We start from the raw sequence: 25,435 nt of genomic DNA, 5'->3' as shown, positions 1-25,435 counted from the left end.
AGGAGGAAGGGTGGAAGATTCTGGAGAGTCTATACGCCATAACCTCCAAGTAGGTGAGTGAGATGGCCCAGCGGGGCGGGAAGTATTGCAAATTTGGACTTATTTAGCATGCAAGCCTTTTAAATGTGCGTTTTGGTACATAACATACGCACTCTACTCCTACAGTAGTGGACATACGTACTTTATATACCATATATATGGGCTGCATGTTCTGTTTTTTTTTGTTTTTTTTTTACTAATGAGAGTACGTGATAAAACTCAGGTTTATAGATTCTGCTGTCAGTAAACATCCCACCATAAATCTTCAAGAAGTAGGGCTTTGTCCAGTCCCTTCACATGTACCCAGTCTGCAGTCCATTAGAATGGAGTCCACCATTGCCATCCCCAGGATCCTCTGTGAACCCAGATGCTTGGCCTACCCCCCACCTCCAATATGGGTTGGCTGAGTCCCCACCCAAATCTCACCTTGAATTGTAATAAGCCCCACGTGTCAACGGTGGGGTCAGGTGGAGATCAATGAATCATGGGGAGGTTTCTCCCACATTCTCGTGGTAGTGAATAAGTCTCACGAGATCTGATGGTTTTATAAAGCGGACTTCCCCTGCACAAGCTCTCTTGCCTGCCGCCAAGTAAGATGTGACCTTGCTCCTCATTCACCTTCAGCCATGATTGTGAGGCCTCCCCAGCCATGTGGAACTGTGAGTCAGTGAAACCTCTTTCCTTTATAAATTACCCAGTCTTGGGTATACCTTTATTAGCAGCATGAAAACAGACTAATACACCCCTCAATGCTTTTGTTCAGCTGGTCTGCAGCAGAACCTGGACTGCTGGTTCTGGGGGTCAACCATGAACATAGAACAGAGCCTGGCCTGTAGTAGGCACACTACATAAATGTTGGCCATTATTATTTTTGCTAGTGTCTTGAGACCCCCTCCTGAGCTGATCCCAACTCCCTTGCTCGCCTAGGCAATGGCACCAGAAAGATGCTCTTCCCAGAGACCACCAGGACACGGGTTCTGTCCATGTGCGTGTCCTGGTTCCACCTGGCTGCAGCGAGCTTCTCACATCAGTGCCTTCACCGTGAGCTGCTTGTCACGCAGCCTGGTGCTTACTATTGTTGAATCTGCTCTGAGACAGCAACCACAGATGCCGCGGGTAATAGGTGGGAGATGGGCTAGCTCCTTGGCGGGCTTCAGAAGCACCTCTGCCTACAGGACTGAACTCACTGCTGGAGCCTATGCTCCTCGGGGACTCTCAGAGGGAGGGGATAGGAGGCAGGTGGGGAGAGGAGAACCTTCCTCCTTCCGAAGCTGAACCATTGACAAAGGCCATGGCTGCCCTTCTGTGCGGGCTCCATTCACAGCTTCCCGTTGGCCTATGATGGCCTGAATGTAGCCTCTGGCAGGGAAGGGAAGAGCAGTGGGGTTGGGGGAAGCGGGGGACTTACCGCTCTCTCCCTGGCCCTTGGAGTGAGGCATCTCAGGCACGTCAGTGGTGTCTCTGTGCTCTGCAGCTCTCCTGGAGGTCCTCGTCTTGGTGGGCAGCTCTGGGGCCTGCAGCAAGGTACTCACAGCCCCACGGACGCCTTGTTTCCCCAGCTCCTTTTCCACTTCTAAGAATCATACAGGGACAGAAACAAAAATCCAGCAGCCATCAGTACTGGTGTTGGCTTGGTGTGGTGGTTCTCTTTCTTTGTAAGGTAACAGTGCTCATCTGCATACAACTAAAGAAAAGGCACGTGGATACCGGAGAAACAGCCCTTAGCATTTCTTAGAACTCTGCAGGGCTGCAGCAGACAAGAAAGCACAATACTCCACACCTCTGCCCAGCTTTCTGGTCTCAGGACAGGCTGGTCTGTGAACTTTCACCAGGAAGTGAACCGAATGACCCAGGCTGCAGTCCCACATGGCTGCCCTTTCACCCCACTGCAGGTACCCCGGGATGGGTACTTTACCGTCTGAGATACTGGATTCCTGGAACATTGTTTCAAAGGCTTGGTGGATTTCAGCAAAGGAGGGCCGGTCAGAGGGATTCCACTGCCAACCTGGACAGATGAAACCCAAGTCAGATCATCCATGAGATCTGGCTAGCAATACGGGGCTAGCAGTTCTCAAGGAAAAGTCTAGAATGAAAGCAACATTCCAATCCTGCTAACCATCTTTTGCTGCAACAAGTCAAAACGATGAATGTCATCATGTCCTGTTATAGACATTAAGAATTTGAAAAGACGTTAGATGCTGGCAGGAATATGGATTGTAAAACCCCAGAGAGACAGTGACAGCAAGAACTGCATTTACAAATATATTTTTCCCAGTCCCGCTCTAGTAGGTGTAGAAAATTACTAAGCCAAACAGCTCACCTTCTATCTTGTTCTTTCTTCACGGTTATCAAAGTCTGAAGTAAAGAAATTCTCATGAAAATGAGACTAACATGAGGACTAAACAGACTGACAAAGCCTAGTACTGGGGACCAGGAACAGTCACTCCCATATGCGTCTGACTGGAGCATACAATGGCACAACCTTTTTTAACAGTTTGGTAAAATGTATCAAAATTTAAAACCCACACAGTTCTTGGAACCAACAGTTCAACTTTTAGAAATACCAGCCAAAGTGCCCAGAGATTCGTGTACATGAATATTTGTTTCTGCTTTGTTTATAAGGGCAAAAACCAAACAAATGTGTAAAACAACCAAATGCACATCAAAAGAGGACCGGATGAATGAGTGAAATGGAGTACTGGGCAGCTATACATAAATAAGAGGTAGGGAGAGGGAGAGATCTGAATATATGGACGTGGAAAGACATGTGTGGGAAAACAGTGTAAGAAATGGCCATATAAATACCTTATAAGATATATGAAAACATCCTGTGTGTGCATAGTACAGATAACACATATGTAATCAGTATAAAACGACCAGATAAAAATCACCTCGCAGCTGGGCGTGGTGGCTCACGCCTGTAATCGCAGCACTTTGGGAGGCCGAGGCAGGCAGATCACCTGAGGTTGGGAGTTGGAGACCAGCCTGACTAACATGGAGAAACCCCATCTCTACTAAAAATACAAAATTAGCCGGGCGTGGTGGTGCATGCCTGTAATCCCAGCTACTTGGGAGGCTGAGGCAGGAGAATCGCTTGAACCAGGGAGGTGGAGGTTGAAGTGAGCCAACATTGCGCCATTGTACTCCAGCCTGGGCGACAAGAGCGAAACTCCGTCTCAAAAAAAAAAAAAAAAAAAATCACCTCATGAGCTTAGCTACTATAGCAGAATGTCTGTGAAAGCAGGGCCCAGGAATCTGTATTTAGGAATACACCCAGGTTTGGTATCTATCAATACCATTTTTGCTTTAAAAGACAAGTCACGCACATACTATTTATCTGTAAATAAAGGTCAATAGGTAGCAAATGGCTACATTAGCTGCATCTGAAGAACTGGAATGGAGAGAGCTCATGGAAAAACTTTCAACTTTGTGTACACACTCCTGCACAGTTGAATTTCCTGGAATGCCCACATATACTCGTGAGAACAGGCTGAGGAAGGCTTACATGCTCGCATGAGTTCATAGACCTTCTCTGGGCAGCCTTCTGGGCGCTCCATGCGGTAGTCCTTCTCTAGCAGCTCATACACCTGGGACAGGTCAATTCCCGGGTAAGGGGACATGCCATAGGTAGCAATTTCCCAAAGCAATACTCCAAATGCTGAAAGAAAACCGAAAGAGAAAGGCTGTTCAAGATGTGTAGCATTTCACTACACTACATTTAAAATCAGTTACCTTTGCAGCAGACCTCAGAAGGGATGGCCCCAGCAGCAGCCCAGGCTCTGACATTTTACCAGGCTCTTTATCATCAGAAGACCAGGACAAGGCTGGGTGCGGTGGCTCACGCCTGTAATCCCAGCACTTTGGGAGGCTGAAGTGGGAGGATTATTTGAGGTCAGGAATTCAAGACCACCCTGGCCAACATGGCGAAACCCCATCTCTACTAAAAATACAAAAATTAGGGGCCGGGCACGGTGGCTCACACCTGTAATCCCAGCACTTTGGGAGGCCGAGGCGGGCGGATCACGAGGTCAGGAGATTGAGACCATCCTGGCTAACATGGTGAAACCCTGTCTCTACTAAAAATACAAAAAAATTAGCCGGGCGTGGTGGTAGATGCCTATAGTCCCAGCTACTCGGGAGGCTGAGGCAGGAGAATGGTGTGAACCCAGGAGGTGGAGCTTGCAGTGAGCCAAGATCAAGATCGCGCCACTGCACTCCAGGCTGGGTGACAGAGCGAGACTCCATCTCAAAAAAAAAAAAAAAATTTAGCCAGGTGTGGTGGTGTACGCCAGTAGTCCTGGCTACTTTGGAGGCTGAGGCAGGAGAATTGCTTGAACCCAGGAGACGGAGGTTGTAGTGAGCTGATATTGCTCCACTGCACGCCAGCCTGGGCGACAGAGCAAGACCCCGTCTCAAAAATAAAAAAAAAAAAAGGAGACCAGGACAGAACAAGACTCAGTAAACTTACCCCACAAACATGCTAGAGGAGGGCAGATGATGAGTTTCAGACCCTGTGGGGTCTTTTAGGTAATGTGACCATCTTGCTGGGATATGTGGTAGAAGGAACCTGGCGCCGGAAGTCAGCTGGCCATGTTAACTCTTAGCTCTGTGACCAACCAGCTCTGTGCCTAACCGGCCACCACTGCTTTCTGGGTGCACAAGACTATCTCCAAAGCCCCTTCTAACTCTAAACATTTCATAAAAATCTTATGAAATCTTTGAAAGTTTTGAAATCTGAGATTATTGCCTTAAAATTCCATTTCCCATTAAAGGATAAGATTCCTTAGAGAAATGGGTGATTCAGGCCTGGGGCACAGAATGAACCTGCAATAGCTTGTCATTTGAGGGCGCGGACGTCATGGAAAACTACAAAGTTAATGTCAAAATGACTAGGAGCTAATGTGAAGTTCCCACTGGCCAAAGACGAGACAATCTGAATATCAACAGGGAAAATAACCGCAGTGGACTGAAACACATCAGATATATATAAATCTGAGAGTTCATAATACCACCAATGACAGCAAAAACCTAATTGGCCACCACTGAAGGGTATTAAGAAACTAACTTGTGCACTTTGGGAGGCCAAGGTGGGCGGATCACGAAGTCCGGAGATCGAGACCATCCTGGCTAACGCAGTGAAACCCCGTCTCTACAAAAATAGAAAAAAAATTGGCCGAGTGTGGCGGCGGGCGCCTATAGTCTCAGCTACTCGGGAGGCTGAGGCAGGAGAATGACGTGAACCCGGAAGGCGGAGCTTGCAGTGAGCTGAGATCATGCCACTGCACTCCAGCCTGGGCGACAGAGTGAGACTGTCTCAAAAAAAAAAAAAAAAAAAAAAAGAAACCAACTTGTGGCAGGGCATGGTGGCTCACGCCTGTAATCCCAGCACTTTGGGAGGCCAAGGCAGGTGGACTGCCTGAGCTCAGAAGTTCAAGGCCAGCCTGGGCAACATGGTGAAACCCCATCTTTACTAAAAATACAAAAAAATTTAGCCAGGCGTGGTGGCAGGCACCTGTAATCCCAGCTACTTGGGAGGCTGAGGCAGAAGAATTGCTTGAATCTGGTAGGCGGAGGTTGCAGTGAGCCGAGATCATGCTACTGAACTCCAGCCTGTACTTTGTACCCCAGAAAAAGCAAGACTCTGGCTCCAAAAAAAAAAAAGAAAAAGTAATTTGTTATTTTAAAAACTGGTAAATAAAAACAAAGAAGCAAGAATTGACCCTGCTCTTCCTACATGAACTGTACCACTGAGTAACCACACAGATGAGGAACTGTTTCTCCTCATACAAGTTTCCACTAGTAACTTAACAGGAATGACAGAATTAGAGAATTCCTACCTGGCAATACCTAGCAAACTATTGGATCTAGGCACTGTATATCAGTAACTGCCAAAAATTACTCAAAAAAAAACCCCCACAAAAAAACGATAGCAAATCAAGCATTTTGGGGCCAGGCGTGGTGGCTCACGCCTGTAATCCCAGCACTTTGGGAGGCCGAGGTGGGTGGATCACGAAGTCAGGAGTTGGAGACCATCCTGGCCAACATGGTAAAACCCCGTCTCTACTAAAAATACAAAAATTAGCCGGGGGTGGTGGCATGCGCCTATAATCCCAGCTACTCAGGAGGCTGAGGCAGGAGAATCGCTTGAAACCAGAAGGCAGAGGTTGCAGTGAGCCAAGATCGTGCCACTGCACTCCAGCCTGGGCAACAAGAGCGAAACTCCGTCGGAAGGAGAAGGAGAAGAGAGGAGGGGAGGGAGAGGGGAGGAAAGGAAGGAAGGAAATAAATGAAGCATTTTGTATCTACTGATGGAAGGGCACACCATCTCCCCTGATCCACTCTTACTAAAAGAGAAACAGTCAAACCTGAATGTGATGAGGCCGTTCCAGATCCAGCCACCCATTACTAGGAATACTGAAGTCAGAGGAACATATTAAATCACACCATGGGAGACAATGAGCAAAACCCAGAACGTACGAAACTCTAAGGATGGTTTCTTCAATAAACAGCAAGGGAAATAAAGACATGGAGAGGGGGCTTATAGAGGAGACTTAACAGATCAGCAGATACACTGTGCACCATATTTGGACCTCAGGCCAAATACACAGTTAAAAAAAAAAAAAAAAGGGTGGCTGTGCACAGTGGCTCACACCTGTAATCCCAGCACTTTGGGAGGCCAAGGCAGGCAGATCACCTGAGGTCAGGAGTTCTAGACCAGCCTGGCCAACATGGTGAAACCCCATCTCTACTAAAAATACCAAAAATTAGCTGGGTGTGGTGGCGGGTGCCTATAATCCCAGCTACTCAAGATGCTGAGACAGGAGAATCGCTTGAACCCGGGAGGGAGAGGCTGCAATGAGCCAAGATTGCACCACTGCACTCCAGCCTGGGTGACAGAGTGAGACTCCGTCTCAAAAAAACAAAAAGAAAGGAAGAAAAGAAAGGGAAGAGCAAGAAAGAGGCAGAAAAAAACCCTCCTGTAGTCAGGAAGGACCACTTCAGTGCAGCAGCAGCCCTTACCCCAGACGTCGGACTTGATGGAGAACTTGTTGTAGGCCAGGCTCTCGGGTGCAGTCCATTTGATGGGGAACTTGGCTCCAGCATGGGCTGTGTAGGTGTCCCCTGTCATCAACCTGCTCAGGCCAAAATCAGCTACCTTCACCAAGTGGTTCTCCCCTACCAGGCAGTTTCGGGCAGCAAGATCTCTAAGAAAGGAAAATGTTCACCCATGAGAGCTCCTGGCCAACCTTCCACTTCACAAATCCACCACTGCTGAGCAAAGGTGCAATGCTGACAATGGAAAGATTGAGTCCAATGCCCTGGAAGTTTGTATTAATGCCCACGGCAATTAACACAGTGCCAGCCTCTCAGCAAACACACCCTGAGATCCCAACATGGGGAGAGGCTGGTGCTGGGAGCGGGCTCCCTGGCCTCATGACCTGGAGCAAGTTAATTACCCTGGGACTCAGTTACCTCATCCGTAAAATGAAGACGATAATAATGGCACCTACCTCTTAGGGTTGCTGTGAGTGTAATTAATTAATATGCTAAGTGCTTTGATTGAAGTGTCGAGAATAGTAAGTGCAGTTATTGCTACTCTATGCCAGGCACGGAGACAAACACTGAGCCCAGTCCTTGATTGCAAGAAACTTCTATCAGAGTGCATCTCCACTTGTCCTATTCAGACTTGATGGGACAAAATAAAACAAAGCCCATGGCATTCTTTACCCAAACTGTGTTTCCTACTTCCCTCTTTCTTCCTGAGGTGTACCCAAATGTATCCTAAAAAACTCTCTCCTGTATAATCTGCTTCCTCTCACTTCCTGATTCTCCCAGGGAGGTAGGAGTCTAATCTTTGGTTCATGAACATTAACCATGAAATCACAAGGCAAACGGGAAGAGCGGAATGAGAGGGGGCAGCAGCTTGAGGTGATGGCTGCGTGAGATAGCCTGATCGTCAGCAACAAGAGTGAAATTAAATACAGAAGAGTTGTGCCTAAGAGGATTTTGATAAAGCATTTTAAGTTCGCTTGAATGAAGAAGGAACGGACCCGGCCGTGCCAGGCAAACCAGAAGTCAAGCAATCTCAATTTGCAGCATCAGAGGATTCACTTTCCTGAAAGCCAGGAGTATCTGGATCAGGCTCTCATGGAGCATAGAAAATCTGTCTTACAAGGAGCCGCCAGCATTTCACACATGCTACCCTTATTCCTTGCTATGAAATCTCATGTAGAGGTTTCATACTTGAGCTAATTGGGTAGGAAAGGTCACAGTGGTGGTGTGGAGAACATCTCGTATAAAAGACGCCAGCAAAGCCCATCAGGCTCTGTCCTGCACAGGCCGTCGCTTTGCTGGGAAGCCATTTCCACCAGCAAAGAATTTGAAGACCAAGATAATTGTGGCACATTTGAAGGTCAAAACACTTCAGGGTTTAAAACAGCAAAGACACTTAATTTAGACCTCCACATACACAATTCTGACAATTGTGGAAACATCCCTGAATCAGAGGACAGCAAGTTAAGTGGAGAATGAAAAGATAATAAAGAGAAAGCAGGAAAAAAAGACACACACACTAAAAAACAAAAGCCATGTACTGGTTGTTCCCATGAGTTTGCGTAAAAGCAATGCCAGCGGCTCCCAGGAAGAGGCCATTACTGCTGGGCGCTGGCCCCGGAGGAACAATGAGTACTCTCTTTCAGAGGGGACTGTGATTATTAGGAAGGACGCCTTTTATGAACTTCATTTAATATTCCACTTAGCCCAAAATGGTTCAAAAATGAAATATTCCTTACTCCGGGGATTAGCTGCTCCACTGGTCCAGAGTCTAGGCCTGGCTGAATTTAGCCCTGGATGCATGCCCAAAGCTGGCTTTGCCAGGAGCCTAGTGTTTGCCTTTGTTCCAAGGTCCAATGTGTTGCCAGCACTGAGGTTAGAAGCTGCGCCCTGAGACCTCCTAGGCTGGGGCTTTTTGTAAAAGGCTGCCCGGCTCCACGCCCTGTGACTCCATGGCGCAGGCTGCCTGGCCAGGCCCCTACCTGTGGATGAAGTTTTTCTTCTCCAGGTACTCCATGGCTGACGAGATCTGAGTGGCCATGTACAGCAGCACCACGGCGTTCACCTCCTGCCGGTTGCACTCCCTCAGGTAGTCCAGGAGGTTCCCGTAGGTCATGAACTCAGTGATGATATAGAACGGGGGCTCCCGGGTGCAGACCCCTGCCAACAAGACAACGAGGACTTCAACACGTGGCTCCGCTCCCAACTGAACAAACAACTGTCTAAAGAAAAAGCCTTCTGAAGGATTCTGACTCTGCTCCTCAGTCCTGGGCCCAACTTCCAACATGGTCCCAAGCACCTGCATCCTGAGACTGTGCTCGTGTGGGAGGGACATGGCCAGGCTCTTTTCTTCTTCTCAAGCCAGTGAACTTGAATTTACGCAGGGAGAGGCTGCCACAGAATTCAGACGCAGACCTGGCCCCACCTCAAATGACCTTCACCACCGTCAGTTTACCCCTGAATGGTTAGGTCTGATGGTTATGTGTCTACTTACAGAATCACTTCAGTGAGAAAACTCTGGAAAATGCCCAAGTTTCAGAAACTAATTTCAGATTTGCATTTGACTGCTTTTAGGTATCCACTTAAAATAATCACATTCTCCCTCTCATACATACATGTGCATATGTGCACACACGCACACACCCATCCCATACAGGCCTCATTTTACCCGCGGCTGAACGTCGGCAGAGCACAAATATTCCAACGAGGTTTTGTGCAGTGAGCCGCCCGTGCGTCTTCCCCAGCGCCTGTGTCACCCTGGGGGTGCGGCGCGAGACCCTCTCTTCAGAGCCCCGGGCTTACTCACCAAGGAGCTGCACCAGGTTAGGGTGTTTGATCTCTTTCATGACTGCAGCTTCTTTCAAGAACTCTTCCACCTCCATGGTGTCCTCCTGCAGAAGGAAAAAAACGAAGGTGAAATTATTTCAGGAAGTGCTTTTCAGTGGGTAAGTACTTGACTAGTTAATGCAAAATGGAGCTTCAGCGCATACTCGTCCTGGGCTGCGTTTTGTGACAGCCACATTGCTGCAGACAGGTTCCATGACAGCTGACCAGCAACTTGATGGCAGAAAGAATTTTCCCCTTTGGGGCCAAACTTTTCAATTCTCCCCCAGGCAACAGGGCAAAGCTGGCTTGCATGTGCCGACAACCTGCTTCTGGTGCCTGCTAGGCAGGCCACATGTGCTTCCCCACCTCTTGGAGCTCGTGGGGGTGTGGGAGAGCTATACGGGCAAACACCACAAACGTGACACACTTTCCCCAGGGAACCTGGTTTCCAAGGGGTGCTAACACACTCAGCCTAAAAAACATCACCTGAAGAATCTGAAATGTACCTGATTTAAGGGAAGAGACCCTCATGACAAGAAAGAGGTATTGCATCACAAAGAAGAACGATGTCTCAAAGTACAGTAGCAACAGAGGATGCTGAACTATTCTGGCACGTGGTCGTGGGCTCTTAATGAAGCAGTCATCACTGTCTGTCAGGTCAATTACTCACAGTCTAAAATAATCCTCACCAGCAGCTCCCCTACCAACAAATTCATAAGGATCATCAGTACATGTCACATTTTAACAAGTCCATGGTATCTAAATGCCAAGGGGGAGAAAAAGATAGGAGCATGGGCCCGGGACAGACAGGCCGTGACTTCTACAGGTCCTCTCATCTTTTCAGTCTGGGGTCAAGTCTGAAGTGCCGTGGCACTGAGCCCTGGGGAGAGCCCCATGACACAGAGCCTTGACCTTGGCCTACATCACTAAGCCTCTTTTTGACTTAAAAAATGCTACTGTCTACTGAACTGACTATCAGAACAAGAAGCAGGTGGGTGTTAAATGATATGGTCTGTTTGCTGCGAAAACCTGGCTACAAAGGCCAAAGGAGGAAGCGAGATGCCTCCAAGTTTCAACAGAGTTTGGAGAGAAAAGACTGCAGGGGAACAGAGAGTGAATGGCTTAAAAATTAGGCTCCCCAAAGAGGAAGGCTTGATCAACTTTCTATTAAACGTAGAACCTTGTATGTTCCGGCCCGTTTGGGAGACACCGTGTCCTGATGGTCCTGCTTGCTATGGCTGCCCCAGTTCCCCACCCTGCTGTGGGGGAGGCTTCCAGAGGACGGGCCAACCTTTACTTACAGCCTTCTTGCTTTGGCCAATCCTGTTTACAAGTGAAGCGTGACCAATGAGGCTATGTGTCAGCCCATTATCTCTTAGCTCAGGGCTCCGTGAGGCTGAAACTTGGAAACAATTTATCGCTCTTTAAAAATGGTGAGCTGCTCTTAATGTCAATTAAACCTCATTGGTAGTCACCATGCCAAGCTGTCCGAGGGGGAAAGAGCTCACCTCTGTCACCACCCCATTGGCCGTTTAATTCTTCTGAGCCCTCTCTGCTCCTTAATGTGCTCAGCAGACCATGCTGTTTTTTGGCATGGAGTGCTCTGATTTACCAGGGTGACATGCTAATGTCAAAGGCTGGACAGTGAACGCCTGCCAGTATCCGGGGATTCAATGCTGCTCACGTATAGGACTGGGGCTTTAAGAATCTTGCTTGATCAACAATATGGTTAAAAAGTAGCTCTCAAAGGAAGCTTTCGAAGCAAGTGGGGTTTTTCTGTTTTGAAGACTACATAATAAACCACATACAATGAAATCATTTCATAAATATCATTTGCTTTTATAGCTACTGACCCTCTTCTAAAAGACCCATGTAATAATCTTGAGAGGTATGTACATGCAAAAGGAACATGGCTCTCAAAGGCAGCCCTCTTCTCATCTGTCTCTCTTACATACACACAAACACACAAGGGAGGAAAGTACAAATAATTCCTTTTCTTATAGAAAAATCAATGTGAATTTGTCTCCCCCTGCTGGAATCAGACCTTGTCCAATTTATAATTTTAACTATTAACAACAGCTGGCCGAGTGTGGTGGCTCATGCCTGTAATCCCAACACTTTGGGAGGCCAAGGTGGATCACCTGAGTTCCGGAACAACCTGGTCAACATGGTGAAACCCCATCTCTACTAAAAATACAAAAATTAGCCAGGCGTGGTAGCGCATGCCTGTAGTTCCAGCTACTCAGGAGGCTGAGGCAGGAGAATCACTTGAATTCGGGAGCAGGAGGTTGCAGTGAGCCAAGATCGCACCACTGCACTTCAGCCTGGGCGACAGAGTGAGACTTCATCTCAAAATAGAAAACCAAAACAACAACAACAAAACAGCCTACGTTTGTAGTTGTGTTAAACTGGAAATATCCCTGACGCAATTCTGTGACATTCCTTTACTTTCATTAAAAAAATTCCTATCATTTTGCTGAAGAAAATTCTCTTTATATAGTAAAATAAAGCTAACTCAGATGAATGAGGTGAAGGAAACACTTTGAGTGAAAGCTATGAATTTTCAGCCTGGTCTCTTCTGTGCTTGTTAGGGAGGGAGATGGGTCAACTGGCCTCTTTGCACGGACTGACGAGGCTGGCCCAGATGCAGATGAACATTCTGGGCGGTACGGCGGAGCGGTTAAGAGAATGACTTGTGGATTATACTGACCTAGCTCTGCTGCTGTGTGACCATGGTAAGTTACTCACCTTCTCTGAGCCTGTTTTCTCATCTGCACAACAGAAAGAATGTCAGTATCTCCCTTGTGCACAGAGTGCCAAGAGCAGTTCCTGGCATGAGGCCAGCACTCACTCAGCGGTGCTTGCTTTTATTACTATTAAGGCAGTTTATCTCTATTCCTGAGTAGACCGAACAGATAGCTTGTAGAAAACAAAGGCTGGTTCTTTAATGAATACTAGGGTTGTTTGTCTTCTCACAGATACATTCTCCCAGACTCAACATCTCACAGGTATTTTCTTTTTTTTTTTGAGACGGAGTCTTGCTCTGTCGCCCAGGCTAGAGTGCAGTGGCGCGATCTCGGCTCACTGCAAGCTCCGCCTCCCAGGTTCACACCATTCTCCTGCCTCAGCCTCCCGAGTAGCTGGGACTACAGGCACCTGCCACCACGCCCAGCTAATTTTCTGTATTATTAGTAGAGACGGGGTTTCACCATGTCAACCAGGATGGTCTTGATCTCCTGACCTTGTGATCTGCCCTCCTCGGCCTCCCAGAGTGCTGGGATTACAGGCATGAACCACTGCACCCGGCCCTCATAGGTATTTTCTAATCAGTTTCCTCCTTTTTGCTCACCCCCAAGCACAGGTATTCTACAGCATGAAAAAGAACACTGTTTTTAAAAATGGCTTGGCCTCTCTGGGGGGCCGAGACAGGCAGATAACTTGAGGCCAGGAGTTCGAGACCAGCCTGGCCACATGGTGAAACCGTGTCTCTACTAAAAATGCAAAAATTAGCCGGGCGTGGTGGCAGGAGTCTGTAATGCCAGCTACTCAGGAGGCTGAGGCAGAAGAATTGCTTGAACCTGGGAGGCCGTTGCAGTGAACTGAGATCATGCCACTGCACTCCAGCCTGAACTACTGGGCAAAACTCTGTCTGAAAAAAAAAAAAAAAAAAAAAGAAAAAGAAAAAAGAAATGGCTTGGCCTTCCAGCAGTTTCTGTGTAGCAGGCTTTCAATGTCTCGCTCTCAGCAGGGACCCCCTCCCTGAGCAGGGCCATTATCTACAGATAGATCAGTTTCCACATCTGTTTCTGGTTAACCAAATGCTAGGTGAGAGAGGTTACAGGCACAGTGAAACACCACAGGGATTATCCTTATTTCCAATATTCCTTCACCCATCAGATGAATCAGGATCAACACAGCTAAATACACTGAAGAGACTGCTGGGTGTGGTGGCTCACGCCTGTAATCCCAGCACTTTGGGAGGCCGAGGAGGGCAGATCATGAAGTCAGGAGATCGAGACCATCCTGGCTAACATGGTGAAACCCTGTCTCTACTAAAAATACAAAAAATTAGCCGGCGTGGTCGCAGGCACCTGTAGTCCCAGCTACTCGGGAGGCTGAGGCAGGAGAATTGCTTGAACCCGGGAGGTGGAGCTTGCGGTGAGCCGAGATCACGCCACTGTACTCCAGCCTGGGTGACAGAGTGAGACTCTGTCTCAAAAAAACAAAAACAAAAACAAAAAGCAAAAAAAAAAAAACCACTGGAGGGATAGAGTTAGACTGAGGAAGGCGATTCACACTCCAGAGGTGGGACTTGAAGCTCGAGAGGAAAGCCCAGGAGAGACCACCTCGTAGAGGAGCCCCCAGAACTCATCTCCCTGGCCAGAGGAGAACCCACTGCAAGGAATGCCTGTCTTGCAAGAGCAAGTGCAACCTGGCAACAGCAGGCTCCGAGCCCTCCTTGTGCGGCCAGAGAGCCACTGCGTACAACTGCCAAGGGTACGACTGCCCTTCTTCTCGGCTTCTTTCTGGAGCTCCCCAACTAACACCCATTTCCTGGGAGAAATAAAACCGAAACACACTGTGCTGGGTGGAGGAAACAGGCACTCTCTCAACACCACTGGGGAGTGCAAATTGATGACACAAACTCCTTGGAAGGTACTCTGGCAGTATGGTCAAGGCCATAAATGCACATGGTCCCTGATCCAGTAGTTTCTGGAAGCGGACCCACCAGGATAGTTTCACATACATGCAAATGAGGGGAATCACTGTGCTGCTGTTTAGAACAGCAAAATATTGGAAATAAGAGAAAGGCCCACTGAACACTGGTACATGTTAAAATATATCCATACAAAAACAAGACAACCTTATGTATATCAATAAGGAACAACTGCCAAGACACATGATGTGGACAACAGAAGACAGAGATCCGTGCCTATGGGATGCTGTCACCTGGTTAAAACAAGGTTCACATATGCGGACTCAGGAAAGACACAGAACTCGAGGGTGGGACAACCTATTCAAAAAAATATATCCTGCACATTATTTTCCACTGTTTAAGTAGTAAATTTGTCAGTTAGCTCATGAGTCAATCTAAATGCCACAGCTAGATCACCAGCGGTCTTTTCCAAATTCTATTACTTAGAGAACTGATTCATAGAAAAAAAAGACACTGATGTACAAACTCTGAATACAGTTCATTAAAAAATTGCAGCCTCTTAGCTGGGCACAGTGGCACAAGCCTGTGATCCCTGCTACTCAGGAGGCTGAGGTGGGAGGACTGCTTGAGCCAGGAGTTTGAGGCCAGCTGGGCAACACAGTGAGACCCCGTTCCCCCACCTCAAAAAAAATTAGAGCTTCTTGTACTTGACTGTTGGTTTTCTTAAGCACGTCCTCCCTTTAACACAGATAGCAAGACTATGTCCTGCCCAATACTATCAAAATTCAAGGGTGCAGTTCCCAATCAATGAGCCTTTGCTGTAATTCCAGCTTCCCATCTGCAGGGGTCAGCCTAGTGTCCTGCTTTTTTCCTGTTCTCTTCTGTCTTCCTTCTGCCTGGAAGGTATATGAATGACCCAAGGTTGCTTGACTTGTTCACTATGGAGTTGCGGTTAAAAGTAGGCCCTTGCTCCCCCTGCTGGCAAAAGAGGACTCTGGCTCTGCCCTTGGAGAAGCCAGCGATAGGAAACAGGCTGGATGGGAGGAAACTGAGGCCCAAAAATCGGCTGAGGGAAGGACGCTTGGGCAAGGCTGCAAGGATTTTTCAAGGGTTTTGAAGAGGAAGGTAGATCGTAGCCACAAACTGCAAAGGAAGTAAATGGGAGAGTGGGGGGAAAAGGTGATTTTTTTTTAAAAGGCATAACTGTGGCTTATGTAAATATTTTATGGTATTTGAGAAATAAGAATCTGGGTTCAATTTTAAAAAAGAAGAGCTGAGCTTTGGAGCTGAGTGCCCCAGTTCAAATCCTGATGCTGCCACTCCTGGCTGTGTGATGCCAGGTCAGTCACTTAACCTCTCTCTCTTCCATTTTCTCAGCATTAAAATGTTGATACAGGGTGAATGTCCCTTAACTGAAAGGCTTGGGGCTACAAGTGTTTCGGAGCTCAGATCTTTGCAGATTGGGGAATATCCACACTATATTACCAGATGAGCACTCCAAATTAGAAAATCCAAAATCTGAAATGTTCCAGTATGCATTTCCTCTGAGCTGCATGCCGGTGCTCAAAAAGTTTTGGATTTGGGAGCATTTAGGATTTGGGATTTTAGGGTCCGGGATGCTCAACCTGGAAGGATCTTAAGGTTGTGAGGATTCAATGAGATGCGACATGTAGTAAGCACAGAGGTCTCTGCCAGGCACACAGCAAGGGCACGATGAAGCTGAATGTTAGCCACTGCCATGATTTAGAATCCACTCAAGGATTTCAGCTTTTTTTTTTTTTTTTTTTTTTGGAGACAGGGTCTCACTCTGCTCCCCAGGTAGGAGTGCAGTGGCACGATTACGGCTCACTGCAGCCTCAACCTCCCGGGCTCAGGTAATCCTCCCATGTCAGCCTCCCAAGTAGCTAGGAATACACACGCACCACCACGCCTGGCTGATTTTTGGTATTTTTTGTAGAGGCAGAGTTTTGCCATGTTGCCCAGGCTGGTCTTTAACTCCTGGGCTCAAGCAATCCACCAGCCTTGGCCTTCCAAAGTGCTGGGATTACAGGCGTAAGCCACCGTGCCTGGCAATTTCAGCTTCTATAGCAAAGGTAAATGCCCCATATTTACACTAATCTTATTTGACAAATAGGCAACATACTGCAGGGATGTTTCTGCGCACGGCCAGGAGGAAGGAGGGCTAATTTATTTAGCAGTTGCTTAGTACCGTATTTTCAGTTAACACACTTCCAGAAAGGGACATACTGCCTTTTCCCTAATTAGATACCACTCCGGGTGACTGCCCACAGAAATCCACGCAATGACATCCTGTAATTCTTTACCAACTGTGAGATCGTAAGTTAATTAGGCTCTTGGGAAAAATTATTAGAAGTATAATTAAAAGCAGAGTAACACATTATTAGTAAAGCACATTCTGAAAGGCACCCACTTTAGATTCAGTGATATAAGAAACCCACCCCACAAACCACACAGGTCTCCAGCAGGTACCCTTCTCTGGAGTCTCCTCCTTCAGTTGTTCAGAAAACAATGCCACAGCACCATCTACTGAAGTAGCGTTTCCTCAAATGTCAAGTTGTACAACCCGATCTTGGAAGTTTTCAGACAAGCTTTTACTGGTTGAAATCTAGGGTATTTTGCGCTTGGAATCTTCCTTCATTTGACAAATCCTGGTGAAAGTGTGCTGAAATCTAGGCCATTCTCAGTTTGCTGAGCTGGTCAAGGCCCCATTTCTTGGGTCTGGTCTTCAACCCTGTGCAACCCAAGGAGCTGGGGCACCTGCACAGCTCCCCCGTCCCTCCTTCGTTCACCCCCTGGTGGTGTCCCGAGGACTGCTGCGCTGCAATCCTTCTTCCTCCTACTACCTGGACCACCCTATGTCTCAGATGAAGAACTCTGTCCCATTCATTTTCTAATCCAGTGTTGAGCCCAGGAACCGTCAAATAGAAGTGAAGAACTTGATAAATATTTATTCAATTAAGAAAAAGTCCAGGGCCGGGTGTGGTGGCTCATGCCTATAATCCCAGCACTCTGGGAGGCTGAGGTAGGCAGATCACTTGAGGTCAGGAGTTTGAGACCAGCCAGGCCAACACAGCGAAACCCCATCTCTACTAAAAATACAAAAATTAGCTGGGTGTGGTGGCGGGTGCCTGTAATCCCAGCTACTCGTGAGGCTGAGGAAGGAGAATCGCCAATTTGGGGAGGCGGAGGTTGCAGTGAGCTGAGATCATGCCACTGCACTCCAGCCTAGGCAACAGAGTAAGACTCCGTCTCAAAAAAAGAAAAGAAAAAGTCCTATCTGAGAAATATCCAGGGTCCTTAAGGTAACCCCAAACCATGCCCCCACCCCAGTGCCAGTCCTGCCTCAAAGACAGGCACGTGCTGAATAAGAGCATCAGGAAGCCACCTTTGGTTTCTAGGACTAAAGAATGTGATCTTTTCTCTAAAGCAGCCACTTCATACCAGTCAGAAATCATACTTCCCATTTCACTATGCCTTTGGGTGAAGGCATCAGGTCAGTCAAGGAGTCCCTAAAAGGCAGGCATGTGGCTGCACCAGTCTCAATGTGTGCACCTGACTTCTGAGACACATGCACAAACTAAACTCTATTTTTCCCAGAGGTGGATGTTTCAGTTCTTTTCTAACAGCTCTAAAAAGGGGCTGCCTCTCTTGATTTCTGTGCACAGGTCAAGGTAATCAAAGTTCATTTAAAACAAGTGGAAATAATGTAAGTCAACACTAGGGGACACCCTCGCCACAGGGAAAAGCCTGGATCACATTTTGAAGAATGCAAAGGGCTGAAAATGAAAACTTCCTTCCCTTGGCGTCCTAAGGGTTTCAAAGAACTTCAAAAGAAGAAAAAAACCTGCCTGGAAACTACAAACACTATTCATTAGTGGAGAGGGTAAAGTCCCAGTTAACAAGAAAGACCAGACTGTATCTGAGTTGGTCAAAAGCGAGTTTCCTGGATGCCTTTCTAGCGGGGACACTTCCACCTCTGCCTGCAGGAGTCTGGGCAGCTGCAGAATTGGAACCCACTGGGGATGCCCAGGGCACCTGCCTTCCAAATCAGCCAACAAAAATCCACAGAAGAGTCAAATGCATTTTGGTTAAATCTTCTTTCAAAACTCAGAGATCTTTTTTTCCTCCTTAACTCTCGGTAGGAAGTGATCTCCATGCCGCACGAACAGCATGGAAATCCACGGCTTTAAAAGAACCTTGCCATAAAATGAGAAAACCTCTCCAAATGACTAATCTTTTTACACCAAAACCCCTCCATGCTTGTCAGCTCTCACCATATGTGGAAACACACTCGGACTATGAGAATGATTCCACTCCTACAAAGACACAGGAATGATATAAGACGGAAAAGTCAATTCCGTGGCGCCAATGAAGCCCTCGGACAGCAGGCAGGAGGTAGACTTCCAGGCAGATGCATCGCCTAATGCCAGCAGACGCCTTGCCCCACGTACCCTGGGCACCCCCGGCAGTCCCAGCCTACCTTCAAGGTCTTCACGGCCACCGTCAGGCTGTATTTCTTCCACACGCCCTCGTACACCTCCCCGTACTGGCCCCCGCCCAGCTTGTGCTTCATGGTGATGTCCGTGCGTTCCATCTCCCACTTGTCGTAGTTGGGGGACACACCATAGACAGTGGGCTTGTTGCGCTTTGGGGCTGGATAATGGAGCGTGGTGATGAGCCCGTCGGCCACCGTTGAATGATGATGAACCAACTCGGCCAGGGTGTTGAAGCGGCTCTCGGAGGAGACGTAGAGCTGAAGGAAACAGGGAACAGCCTTCAGCCCACAGAGACAGGCAAGCTCAAAGAGCTCACGTGAGCCAGTTTGGCTGAGCCTTAATTCACTACACAGCAAAATCTCACATAAGGAGCTCTCCACACAGGACAGAGTGTTTAGAAGATCACTTCTGCTGTCTTTCTCTACGTGTGCTCTAAGTTACTCGCTCAAGCAAAAAGACACAATAAAAGGCCTCAGGGCCTCTGTACCTGCTGCTGCTCCCTCTGCCTGAAATCTCCCACTCCCTCATCTTCCGTGCCCAGTTCTCGCTTCCCGTTCCAAGGCCAGTTTTAAGGTCCGTGAAGTCTTCCCCAACCACCCAATCTAAAGTCATCACACGGCACGGGTCATCCTACCACCTGTCTTACTTCTCAGCAATGGACCCACTACTAGCTCATAATTTCCTGTTTATCTGCTTAATTACTGTCTGTCTCCACCTAAGAGCATGCAAGCTTCATGAAAGCAGAACCCTAAGCTGTCTTCATTCCAATGTTGAGAACAGGAAATCAACATGTAATAAGTACTCAATAAATAACTGTTGATTAAATTAACACATGGTAGAACTTGGTGGGTAGTTGCTGGTAGGAAAAGCGAAGAATTCATTTAATTTATAATTTAAAGGGGATAAACCTAGAATGAAATAGTGACCAGAAGATGAAAACCACTAAACACATCCAACACGAGGAAGCAAAAGGAAGGATTTACGACACAAGAGCATTCGGTCCCCGTGTGAGAGCTACAGCAGGTGAGGACCTAGGGTCAAACCCTGCATGTAGAGTTTGCATCTGGACACAACAGAGCTGGAGAGGAAGGAGAAGGAGCAGGCTGGCAGAAAGCAACAATGCAGTGGGTGCCAGCTACCTGTTTTCTTCTCTTTTCATTGGTGTGGCAAGGGAATACTTCCTTACCAAAAACAATTCCACATGAAAAATCCACATAAAACATCTGGACTCCAGGCACATAACTGAATCTACTGGCTTGCTCAGGGTAGCCAACCATCACTGAAGGTGGAAAGAAGACTTAAAATCATGACTAGGCATTCAGAAGACTTGCCCAAACTGCAAAGATGTGGGAAGAAGGAGCAGATTTGGGACAGTGGTGATGCTTGGGACGAGAGGGAGAAAAGGGAACAGGATCAGGCTTCAGCTATAACTGTAATATCTTATTACTTAAAAAAAAAGAAAAGGGAAGAAAAAGCCTGAAATACACACAGCAAGGCCAAGGCCTTTGGCTGTGGGTTATGTCAGGCACCATTACTATACGTCTGTAATAGTAAATAAGAAAAATGTTTTTAAAAGAAGGTAGCAAAGAAATATACAAGTTAGTCCCATTGACAACTCTCAAGAAGGTAAAAAGGATTCGTCAACAGGAAGGTTTCTCTTTCTTTTGTTTTGCTTGGGGAGATAACACAAGTGAATTCCTAAAACAGGCAAGCCAAAGGCACACATTTTGGGGTTACAATCTTTTGGTAACAATATCACTAAAATAAAATTCTGAGAAACGCAAAACTTGTCTAGAAAGATTGCTTCACTCTGGGGAACTTGCTCAAGGTGTAAGGACTGTGGCCTGGGGACACTGGCTTATCCCTCTGCAAGACAGGACCGCTGAATGGCAAGACTTATCAGGATGTGGCGGCCCTGCTTTTATTCTTGAGAGCACGGAAGAGAAGCCTCTGAGTGAACTGCTCTAGGGACACACACCATGAGTCACGCTCAGACCCACGAACGTGCACACAGGAATGTGTCGGGGAGCGGAAGTCGGCACCGCTGAGGGCTGCCGTTAGCTTCATAACCACACGGTGACGTCCACGCACTCTCTTCACTGCTGGTCACCAACACAAGTGCTGCACACAAAGAAAACGGAGCGGGACCTGGGGTCAGCTCCCAATCCCCGACCCTCTGGAAAAGACTGTCAGCTGTCCGATTACTTCACTGCCGGTGGCAAGTGCTCCAACCCCTGTTCTCACGTTAGCTCAGCTGATGATGTGCTCCCTACCAAGGACTCTAGAGAAGTGAGAAAAGCCATTCCAAGAAGACATTCCTGCAATCAGAGCACCACTCCCATCTTGGAAATCACTGGCACAGTACAGAGTCAAAGAGCCCGTGTGGCCTGCTGGGCTCCAGGGCAGGGCACCTGGGAGCAAGTCTCATTATCCCTCTCTCCCGTCGGAGCAGGAAGCACATGGGCCTCAAAGGAGCGTTCCCCAACTGGCGGATCGGGTTCCTTCACTCCAAAGTGGAATGCTAAGGGCTCCCCTAAGTCCTAGTTTACGCAGAATTTCTTCTTGGGCTCATTTGATTCCCCCATTGGCTACTGTGTTAGAGACTTCAGTTACAGGAGGTTTCACTGAATGGCCCAACTTTATCCTTTTCAATAATTAAATTTATAGACCTTGTTGTGACTTAGTTCATTTTTCAACATAAAACTTACATACTGACACTTACTAAATACTAAAACCATTCTCCCCCAAAGGCACCGCATATTTGGTTCACAGCCATCTTCCCCGTGTCCCACTAACAGTCAAGGCTGGTGCTTCCTTCTGATTAGTTCCAGGTTTTGAGCAGCACTTGTTGGGGAACTGTGTAATCATCAGGAATTCATGGCATGTTCAGGGAAGAAAGTAGTGTCATGAATGGCATGTCATTACGCTATGCACCTGGTTCCATGAACACTCAGGTGCTCAGTCAGGGCTGCTGCCTCTCCCTAATCATGCATGAACCTGAAGGATGGGACTTGTCAAAGAAACGCTTAGAAACAGCATTTTGCCAGGAGCAGTGGCTCACGCCTGTAATCCCAGCACTTTGGGAGGCCAAGGAGGGCAGATCACGAGGTCAGGCGTTCGAAACCAGCCTGGCCAACATGGTGAAACCCCATCTCTACTAAAAATACAAAAATTAGCCGGGCATGCTGGTGGGCACCTGTAGTCTCAGCTACTTGAGAGGCTGATGCAGGAGAATCGCTCGAACCTGGGAGGCGCAGGTTGCAATGAGCCGAGATTGTGCCACTGTACTCCAGCCTGGGTGACAGCCTGTCTCAAAAAAAAAAAAAAAAAAAAAAAAAAAAAGGAAAGAAAGAAAAGAAACAGCGTTTCTTTTGACAGCCACACTGACAGGCCTAACGGAGCTTAGACTTGTGCAACCTTTGGCTGCTTTGGGCCCGGGAGTCCCACCTCAGACATACTGTTTACAGGTTGCTCAGCCAGGAAGCAAGTTCCCCCGAGAGCTGCTCACACACCAGCAGGAAGGCAAGCCTCGCAGTACACAAGAACGGTCCAAAGCCCCTCCACCAGAGCAGGTTAGCCATGTGCTCGGCTTTTCACCAGGAGGCCTACGCCTGCTGAGCCACTGTCAGGGCGGGTAAACCTTAAACATCTAAGAGGCTGTGTAAATGGTCCCTTCCTGCAACTCTGCTGAAGCTTAGGGCCTTGGATCTGTCACTTCAGCAGACGATGAAAATAAATGTCAACTGGGCAAATTTCTTTCAAGAAAAGGAAAGACTCTATTAAGGACTAGAAGGAATCGAGGAACGTGACAGGGGCATCTCATAGAAGTCAATGAGGTGTGGACACATTCAGAACTAAGAACTTTAGGCAGAAGGTGGTGAAGAAAAATCAATCTTCAATTCCGCTATGTCAACAGAGGGTTACAACTTTGGGAAAGGATCAGAACAATGACAGTCAAATCCCCGGGTACCCAGAGATGTTTGAGCCTGTCAAGGCTCCTAGGAAATGGCAACGGCTCGGTTTAGTATTGGCCCCTTCAAGAGTCCAGCTCATAACTCCCAGTCCCCAGCTCTGGGCCCCGAGCTGATGGTCCTCGGCTGATGACCCACAAGGGCTGCTGAAAAGCTCAGAACACGAGGAGAGACACAAATAAGAGCCAAGAGCGGGGAGGCAGAAAGAAATCCTTTGGGGCCTTACAGAAGAATCTTCTAAATTCAGTTGTTTTCTAAAGATGAGCTAATTTAAAAATAAGAACCAAACTTATTCAACCCCAGCCTATTCCTCCTATCGGTCTTAAAATTTCCCCTTAGAAATCCAAAAAGGATTGCATCGAAGTTCTGCTATGTGAGCAGCATTTTTCAGCGGCGAGCCACACGGTCACACGCATAGCTGTGGGAGCTCCCTCTAACGATGTTCACTCATTCCAGTGATACGATCCCACCCAATACACCCCCTCGAGTGCGGCCCTCACAGGAAGGAACCTCCGCAGACGGTCTGCTGGATGACGCTGTGGGCTCAGAAGTCCCCAGGTGCCCAAACGGCTGATGGGAGAGTCTGTGCCAGACGGGGAGGGAGGAGGCAAGACGCCAAGGGAAGTGTGATGTGTTGCCCAATGGTGGACACTGCCTGGTCACATAAGCTCCCTGTGCTCTACCTGGAATGAAACAAACCCACCTGGCACATACTAGCTTTTAGACAGAGGCATCTTAGGCAGATTCTCCCTCTTTGGATGAATCTCAAATTCTGCAAATCACATATCCCATACGCAGGCCTTTCCTTGCCCATTTGAACAGTATTTTAGATCAACCCCTAGCTAATGAGCTGTCACACTAGATCATGCCTGCCTGCATCTGTTCCAAGGTTGCTGATTAAACAGCTCTAGGGAAAAGAAACCATTATCCTGTTCGGTGCAAACCTCAAGTGACTATCTCGGTGCAGCATGACTTGCCTTGGATAAATAGCACACATGGGAAGCAAGCTGTCTGCTCCAGAAAATCACCCCCCATGGGCGGTGCACCCTGGTGTTCTGATTCACTAGAAAGGTACCCTTGTGGTCTGAAGGCTCTTTCAAAGGGCCCAATGTCCTGAAGTACGTCCCTCAGAATGGAAGAACGCAGCTCCACCTCTGGGATAAGAACAATAACCCAAAAAGCAAGCTGACAGGCCCACGTCTAGTCACACAGGGATAACAGGCTCTTTTGTCCGTCACGCACACTGCAGTGTTGGTACTAAAGAATTCTGCAGTGGTGGAAAGCATCAGATATGGGCAATAGGATTTCAGCCAGAAGACTTTGGGATGTGAAGAAAAATAAGAACATTAAAAAGGAAGTATATGTATGTTCATATGGTACAAGTGAATGTGTGAAGACAGCCAAAAAAAAAAAAAGTTAAAAAGGTAAGTGGGGACTAGCCTATCAGATACCACAACATGGTATGAAGCCATAGCAATTACAAGTTTGGTACTGGCATACGGATAGACAGACCAATGGAAGAGAACAGAGAGGTCAACAGGCCTAGATACACATATACACTTGGTATATTTCTAACATGTAGGAAAAAGATGAATTTACTAAATGGCATAAAGATGACCCAAAATATGCCACATGGATATTCAACATAATGAGATGCCATTCTTTACCAGTCAGAGTGACAAAGGTGTTTTTACATGTCTAATAATAAACTGTTGGTGTGGGTTAAGGGGAAACAAGCCCTTTCATGGATTGTTTGTGGGAGAACAAATTTGTACAATTTCTATAGAGGGTGACCTGGTGATGCACATAACCTTCAGTCAGTTCTGGCAACTTATCTGCACACACTTACACCCACATAAAGAAGCACGTGCAACGCATTTTCAAACCAGGCCATGGGCCACTAGTCAGTCTATGAAATAAATTTAGTGGATTACAACCAGAATTTTTAAAAAATGAAATAGAACAGAATGAAATACAAACTATCAGAGTGCGTTACATACAGTAAGGGTAGGTAAGACTTCATGAAACTTTTGTTATATTGTGAGGGCTGGGTGGTGGTGTAAAATGAGTTTTTCTTACAGCAGAACCAGATTTTTGAAAAGGTTTGAAAGCCACCTCATATCAGCATTATTTACAATAACTAAAGATTGGAAACAACCTAAAAGTCAACCAGCAGGGGACTACTGAAATAAGTGACAGTCCATCCACGGTACACAGTCACTGGTAAGAATGAGGCAGCTCTAAACCTGTTGCCATAAAACAATCTCGAAGGTGTATTATCACACGGGAGAAGCATGATGCATTCGCGTGCATGTATCATTTGCGTGCCTTTTTGAATATAAACATCCACATAAACATCTATATACCATCCA

General features: G+C 47.3%; 1 protein-coding gene across 2 annotated transcripts in view, besides 8 other annotated features; it reads right to left on the bottom strand.

Moving 5' to 3' along the window:
* ABL1 (ABL proto-oncogene 1, non-receptor tyrosine kinase) overlaps nt 1-25,435 on the bottom strand; it is a 174,633-nt gene that overhangs the window by 5,564 nt on the left and 143,634 nt on the right. For both annotated transcript variants that reach the window (NM_007313.3, NM_005157.6), the window contains exons 4-10: nt 19,077-19,349; nt 9,899-9,983; nt 9,075-9,252; nt 7,060-7,244; nt 3,545-3,697; nt 1,955-2,044; nt 1,448-1,612 (exon numbers count right to left, since the gene is read on the bottom strand). In NM_007313.3, the coding sequence (NP_009297.2) occupies nt 1,448-1,612; nt 1,955-2,044; nt 3,545-3,697; nt 7,060-7,244; nt 9,075-9,252; nt 9,899-9,983; nt 19,077-19,349 (1,129 nt within the window). The remainder of the gene's footprint in view (nt 1-1,447; nt 1,613-1,954; nt 2,045-3,544; nt 3,698-7,059; nt 7,245-9,074; nt 9,253-9,898; nt 9,984-19,076; nt 19,350-25,435) is intronic.
* Nucleotides 42-1,241: an enhancer, noted in NCBI's record as "CDK7 strongly-dependent group 2 enhancer chr9:133756258-133757457 (GRCh37/hg19 assembly coordinates)". NCBI's record gives its function as "activates an origin of replication core promoter dependent on BRD2, BRD4, P300/CBP, MED14 and CDK7 cofactors, with strong dependence on CDK7, by STARR-seq in HCT116 cells {active_cell/tissue: HCT116}" and the evidence as "EXISTENCE:reporter gene assay evidence [ECO:0000049][PMID:35650434]".
* Nucleotides 11,020-11,219: an enhancer, noted in NCBI's record as "active region_29164". NCBI's record gives its function as "activates an Ori minimal core promoter by ATAC-STARR-seq in GM12878 lymphoblastoid cells {active_cell/tissue: GM12878}" and the evidence as "EXISTENCE:reporter gene assay evidence [ECO:0000049][PMID:35858748]".
* Nucleotides 15,135-15,636: an enhancer, noted in NCBI's record as "OCT4-NANOG hESC enhancer chr9:133741863-133742364 (GRCh37/hg19 assembly coordinates)". NCBI's record gives its function as "activates a minimal SCP1, AML or CMV promoter by ChIP-STARR-seq in primed H9 embryonic stem cells {active_cell/tissue: H9 hESC(primed)}" and the evidence as "EXISTENCE:reporter gene assay evidence [ECO:0000049][PMID:30033119]".
* Nucleotides 15,336-15,630: an enhancer, noted in NCBI's record as "tiled region #7858; HepG2 Activating DNase unmatched - State 12:CtcfO, and K562 Activating DNase unmatched - State 25:Art". NCBI's record gives its function as "activates a minimal TATA promoter and a strong SV40 promoter by Sharpr-MPRA in HepG2 and K562 cells {active_cell/tissue: HepG2 | K562}" and the evidence as "EXISTENCE:reporter gene assay evidence [ECO:0000049][PMID:27701403]".
* Nucleotides 18,624-19,124: an enhancer, noted in NCBI's record as "H3K4me1 hESC enhancer chr9:133738375-133738875 (GRCh37/hg19 assembly coordinates)". NCBI's record gives its function as "activates a minimal SCP1, AML or CMV promoter by ChIP-STARR-seq in primed H9 embryonic stem cells {active_cell/tissue: H9 hESC(primed)}" and the evidence as "EXISTENCE:reporter gene assay evidence [ECO:0000049][PMID:30033119]".
* Nucleotides 19,125-19,625: an enhancer, noted in NCBI's record as "H3K4me1 hESC enhancer chr9:133737874-133738374 (GRCh37/hg19 assembly coordinates)". NCBI's record gives its function as "activates a minimal SCP1, AML or CMV promoter by ChIP-STARR-seq in primed H9 embryonic stem cells {active_cell/tissue: H9 hESC(primed)}" and the evidence as "EXISTENCE:reporter gene assay evidence [ECO:0000049][PMID:30033119]".
* Nucleotides 20,687-21,534: an enhancer, noted in NCBI's record as "H3K27ac-H3K4me1 hESC enhancer chr9:133735965-133736812 (GRCh37/hg19 assembly coordinates)". NCBI's record gives its function as "activates a minimal SCP1, AML or CMV promoter by ChIP-STARR-seq in naive H9 embryonic stem cells {active_cell/tissue: H9 hESC(naive)}" and the evidence as "EXISTENCE:reporter gene assay evidence [ECO:0000049][PMID:30033119]".
* Nucleotides 21,535-22,384: an enhancer, noted in NCBI's record as "H3K27ac-H3K4me1 hESC enhancer chr9:133735115-133735964 (GRCh37/hg19 assembly coordinates)". NCBI's record gives its function as "activates a minimal SCP1, AML or CMV promoter by ChIP-STARR-seq in primed H9 embryonic stem cells {active_cell/tissue: H9 hESC(primed)}" and the evidence as "EXISTENCE:reporter gene assay evidence [ECO:0000049][PMID:30033119]".

The sequence above is a fragment of the Homo sapiens genome, chromosome 9, assembly GCF_000001405.40.
Source record: "Homo sapiens chromosome 9, GRCh38.p14 Primary Assembly".
Classification (NCBI taxonomy): domain Eukaryota; kingdom Metazoa; phylum Chordata; class Mammalia; order Primates; family Hominidae; genus Homo; species Homo sapiens.
The sequence above is the reverse complement of the archived record's forward strand: the minus strand, read 5'-3'. Positions and strand labels throughout refer to the sequence as shown.